This window comes from Homo sapiens, chromosome 8, assembly GCF_000001405.40.
Source record: "Homo sapiens chromosome 8, GRCh38.p14 Primary Assembly".
Taxonomy (NCBI): domain Eukaryota; kingdom Metazoa; phylum Chordata; class Mammalia; order Primates; family Hominidae; genus Homo; species Homo sapiens.
Genome location: NC_000008.11, coordinates 121,379,482 through 121,385,622, shown reverse-complemented (window position 1 = coordinate 121,385,622; position 6,141 = coordinate 121,379,482). Strand labels below are relative to the sequence as shown.

At 37.2% G+C, this 6,141-nt stretch overlaps 1 pseudogene; it reads left to right on the top strand.

Moving 5' to 3' along the window:
* RPL35AP19 (ribosomal protein L35a pseudogene 19) lies at positions 5,093-5,530 on the top strand (annotated as a pseudogene).

Here is a 6,141-nt window from a genome sequence, read left to right as displayed (position 1 = left end):
AATAGCACAAACTGCATAATTTATGAACAATAAAATTTGATTTGACACATAATTCTGGAGGCTGGGAAGTTTAAGATAAAAGTGCTGCATCTGGTGAGAGCTTTCTTGCTATGTCATAACATGGTGGAAGACATCACAATGGCAAAAGAGAGTGTACAGGAGCTGAATTCATTTTTATAACAAACTCCCACCGTAATGTCATTAATCCATTCATGAGCACACAGCCCTCATGAACTAATCACCTCTTTAACAGTTCACACTGTTGCATTGGGGGTTTAGTTTCTAACACAAGAACTTTGTGGGACACATTCAAACCGTAGCAGTTAGGACAAGGAAACTGATAGAAGGAGACATTAAGAGTATAGGAGAAAAACCAAACCAAACCAGACGTCAGCAGGACAAAGAAGAGAGTTTGAAATTCAGTGGTGACTGAGGTTGGAGGCTGCCCTAAGAATGAACAAAGCTCTAAGAGTGGATGGCCTCTCAGAGGTCACTTAGTCTCCAAATTGAGAAAAAAAAAGACCTTGGTTTCCTGAGGGATAATTGAACCGTTTCCACATCAGACTACACTGCCTCCTTGCAAGTTATATGACACTTTCATGCTAAGCACTGGCACACTTCTGAAGTCTAGGGTTGCCTTCAGGTCCTTAAATTTGGTGGGTGGTCAGTATTGTTTTACAGAAAGAGAAACAGAAGCTCCAAAGGGGTTAAGTGACTTGCAAAATGACAAGCAATACTTCAGAGGGCTGATTCTGAAACTCAGGGCTAATCTGCTTATTCAGATGTTCTTTAGAAAAAATAATTTTATTTATTTTCAAGAAAAATAGTTTTCTTATTTTCAAGAAATATTGTTAAGAAAAATAAGTGTGAAAGAGTTAAGTTCTATGTTTACAAGGGATTATAAAACAGAGCAATGATGACTTTGCACATAACTTCTCTAATTTAAAACGTGTGGGGGTTGCACATTTTAAAAAGCCAAATTAATAGTTTTCTCAAGTTTTTGAGGAATGATGTACTCGCGTGGAGAAATTTACCTATGACAATCATCAGTCCTATGACATCTGTTCTGGCCTGCAGAGCTGGTGAGTGAAGACACATTACTTATTATTCTACAAGAAAATTGGAAATATCCTAGCTTTGAGTTCTAATATTTCCAGATGGTAGAAATCGAAAGCAGGCTTCCTCTCTGCCTGCTCCTCCAAAGTTTTATGCAGCAGTAAATAAACTCTTATTTGCTTGTGCTACGTTTTATTGCAGAGTACAGAAGGATTGAGGCAACTTATTTCTCAGGGAATGATTCTTGGCTGAGTGTACTTTTAACGTTGAGTTCTGTTTCTGTCTTAAAAAGGAAACACATAGCTCACAATTTTAGCCTCAAGAAAACTATAGAATTGTGTTGATTCTTTGGTTTTATTAACTTTTCCAATGAGACATTTCTAAAACTTGCAGAAAATGCTCTCAATTTCTTTTTCCACAGAATATGGTAGAAAAGTACAATGATATTTCTTCCCCATAATCTTTAAATATTAAAATTGCACTCATGTAAGTAAAAACTTAGTACATTAATTTTTCTTGCATATTGAGTAATGAATCTCATGGCAATTTTGGGAAATATCCTTGGAAATCTAAATTAACTCCAAAAAATGCTGACTTCTAGTTGGGAATGTGATCATAAAGGAAAAAAAATTGACAAATGAATTGGGGAGAAGTTTATTTTGTTTACAAATATTTAATTTCAACTCATTTTCCCACCTGTAATTTCTATCACGTGTATCAGTAGAAACTGTATTTCAGCCGTGGTCTTTACTGGATAGTGTTCCTGGGCCTTTCTTAATATACTGAGAAGAGACTATGTCCTGTTTATTCAGAAGAGCTGAAAAGAATCTGCTTATTAAACACCCAGAATATATGTAAAACCTGGTTCTAGAATATGACAAAATATAATAAAATTGTTTCATGCTGCATTATGTGTTCAACTCCTCCAACCTATCTTTGACATAAAAAATAGAAGGCAATATTGTTGCAGAATCATTTCAATGCTTTTTCCTTTTACCACTGTGCCTGCTGAAAGTAAAAAATTGTTTTCTGTATCTCCAAATGTGTGGATAATAAGTATTATAAAGAGCAAGAATATTCCCAGACCTGTGGGCTTGAGGTGCCTAATCTGGGGTGAAGCAAGAGTCAGTGTTTACCTGAGAATGGTACTTGGAAAAAATATTGATTATATTCATTAAGATTTAGCTATAAATATCCTCCTTCAGTAGGCAAGTGGGAGAGAAATGGGATAGGGACTACTGACTTGGGAGAGATGATAGAATCTGCTAACTTCTCTGGTTCGTTTCTGCAAACATATGCTGAGTGTCAATTGCATTCTAGGTATTGCCCTTGGCACCTCTATGCAGTGATGAAAATAACACAAAGACACAATACTTGATCAAGGAATGAAAGCCCCAATGTCGTTTGCTTTCAGTCCTTCTTAACTTGTGTCAGGGTTGTCCTCCTAGAAGCAGTGATTCTTGAAAGGTAAACATCAGACAGGAGATGAAGGGTGGAAAGGGGTTCAAGTAGAGAGGGCAACCTGCACAAAGGCACAGAAGTAGGAACATGGTGTATGCATAGAAGAGTAGTGCCTACAGGGAAGTCTAATTAATGTGGCATAAAATCCAGAAGCAAAGAATATGGGAAGTAACTGAAGAGGGAAGTAGAAGCCAGTTACCAGGGAGCTTAGATTGACCTTATGAGTGATGGCACAGGGGCATGGGAGACTTTAAGCAAGATCATCAAATGGTCAGATTTGCTTTTGGATGGGTCAGACTGCATTTTGTGCTCAACAGATTGGAATGGAACAATACTAGAGGCAGGCAGATCAATGAAGAGGTTGTTACAGAAGTCTAGGCACAAGATGATAGTGGCATTTGCCCTCATAGCACTTGTCACTGTCAAATAATTATTTTCTCATTCTGTACATATGCATTCAATGTTGTCTTCCTTATGGAAATAATAAGCACCACTGTGGTGGTGAATGTGACTTCTTCACTGTGATGCCCTCCAACATCTCACACATGCCTGACAGTGACTGATTACTGAATAATTGTTTACTAATGTAGGAGCTAGTGACCTGAATGAACACAATGGGACTAAGTTCAGAGCAAGGGTTAGGTTTTTTAAATATTCAAGAGGTAAATGTGCCAGGACTTGCCAACCCAAGTTGACAATGACATCTGGGTGCCCATATTTTTAAATTATTTATTTATTTATTTATTTATTTATTTATTTATTTATTTATTTATTTATTTTTGAGACAGGGTCTCACTCTTTCGCCCAGGCTGGAGTGCAGTGGCACAATCTCGGCTCACTGCAACCTCCACCTCCCAGTTCAAGTGATTTTCCCACCTCAGCCTCCCGAGTAGCTGGGATTACAGGCATGCACCACCACACCCAGCTAATTTTTGTATTTTTGGTAGAGATGGGGTTTCGCCATGTTTGTCAGCCTGGTCTCCAACTCCTGACCTCAAGTGATCTGCCTCCCTTGACCTCCCACAGTGTTGGGATTACAGGCATGAGCCACCGCACCCAGCCCTGGGTGTCTGTATTAATTAGACTGCATGAATCTCCAGGGCTACGCATAGCATAGTGTTAAAAATATTAACTATGAACTTCCTTTAGTTCAAATCCCAGCACTCTGACTCCCTAGGCATGTGTCCCTGAGTCAATGATTTAATCGATTTTGGCATTCAATGTTCTTTGGTTGGCTCAAATGCAAAATGAGAATGAATATAGTACCTGCCTTATCATGTCGTTCTGAAAATCACAGGAGTTAATGCGTGTAAAGCACTTAGAACAAAGCCTGGCAGACAGCATATGCTCAATGAAAAGCTCAGATTAAATTCTCATGAAGTCGTTAGTCACTAGTGACGGTTTCATTGCAGGGAGGTGATTTTGCTTTTAAATTTCAACCATACCACTTCATTTGATCTGCACTCCTCCCTGAAAGGTTTTACTGTCTTTATTTAACAAACGGCAAGTCAGAAGCTCCAAACGAAGTGGTGTGATAAAGTTCACACCGATTGTTATCGCCCAAACTAGCCTCAGAGCAGGGAGGCTTTGATCCTCCAATAGCGCTTTCTACTGAATATCTCCAAGGGAGAACTTACTGCTGGCTGTGCAGTTGTAAAGAGCTTAAAAGTTAACTTTTACCTATCTATAAAAACAAGATTGATAAATCATATCACACCTAAGACCCATTTAGCTAGTGTAGACATGCCTAGTTACCCGATTAAAACACTAAAGCTTTAGGAAAGTTCTTCAGACATGGGATTTTTGTTACAGTCCATTGAAGATCTCTCTTCCACAAATTTTAGTGAAAATGTTTTATATCTAAAGTTAATTTTAGGTAATTAATTTTGCTAACTATGAGTTCCTCCTTTACTTAAGATTCTCATTTATAGAGGTTTTCATCAGTTTACATCTTCAACTGGGAGAGTTTTGTGTTCACTAGGTACTAATTTTTATGTTGCTTTTCTTGTAGAGCATTAGAAAAAAATGAGAATAAAATATTGGAGAGAGAAAAATGGAGGGAAAGAGAATAGAAGAGCGGGGGTAACAGTTTTACATTTCAACTTTGGGAAAAATAAAGGAAATTAAATAAAAATTGTCCTGAGTCCTAGAAATGCCATTGAGAGCCTGTCTGGGAAGATGAACTGGGTATGAATGGAGGGAGCCTGATAGGGCTGCGACGTGTGCTCTGTGGCTTTCCAAAATCTGCTGGTCAGCAGAGTCAAAATGGGGAAAAGCATTTACCAACTAAATTCCAGCTATTGGTTTAAATCAAGGTCATCCAAAGGTTTATCTATCACAAGTTACTTTGATTTTCTAGGACGAATAAAGAAAGAATTTAAACAGGGTCCCAAAAGTGACAGTCGAAACTTTATAGAAAGTCTAAAAGGAATGGAATATATGGACAAGGAATCAAGCTCTGGAAGATATGCCTATGCTCTGTAGATCAGAACTGATTTCTAAAGGTTTGTTATCTGTCTGCTGGAGGAGAATAGACATTGAGAATAAGCTTTAAGAAAATTAATAGCTCGTCTTCCTCTTTCTGCCATCTTGGATCCTGTGGAGGCCTGCTGGGAACAGGACTTCTAAAAGGAAATATTATCTGGAAGCCTGTGGTCCAAGGCCATTTTTGCTGTCTATAAGTGGGGTCTCCAGAACCAAAGGGTGCACACATCTCTTCTTAAAATTGAAGGTGTTTATGCCTGAGATGAAACAGAATTCTATTTGGGCAAGAGATGTACTATGTATACAAAGCAAAGAACAACACAGTGACTCCTGGCAGCAAACCAAACAAAACCAGAGTAATCTGGGGAAAGGTAACTCAGGCCCATGGAAACAGTGGCATGGTTAGTGCCATATTCCGAAGCAATCTTCCTGCTTAGGCTATTGGACACAGAATCCAAGTGACACTGTACCCCTCAAGGATTTAAACTAGTGAAAAGTCAACAAGTAAAAGTGGATTTGTGCTCTTATAAAAAGAAAGAAAAAATATATATATAACAGTTTGTTTCTTTTGATTATAAAACATATTGACATAATTTGTATGTCTTTTTCTTTGTTGTTTTGTACCTTTTATATTTTACATTTCTAGTGATTCGTTCTTTTGTTTTACAAAAATATTGGTTAAGGATTGATTTGTGGATAAAAATGACCTTTTCCACGAATAGTTTGAGAAGTACTGGATGTTTTCTTTTCCCTACAAAATGTACCAAATTTACAACCATCTCATTAAAACTGTAGGAGAAGGAAATAGAAAAGTTTCTTCAAAGTAAAGCATAATACATGAAAATAAATTTTATATTGTCCAACATTCCTAATTTAAGATGGGCAAAATGTCATTGACAATTTTATTAGGTAATGTATTGAAAATGTATCCTTTTTATTTTGACATACATGAAATATATAAGGGCTTTCTTTGATAGTTGCAATTATGTTTCTATTTACTAATCATTGCTTTATCTTAAAATTATATAATTTTTTAACAGCAATTTGTTTTGCAACAATATGTTTGGGAATACAGCCCCTCAGTTGAGAGGAATATATAGCATTTTGTATTATCAAACTGTACCCTTGGGATAAGAGGTC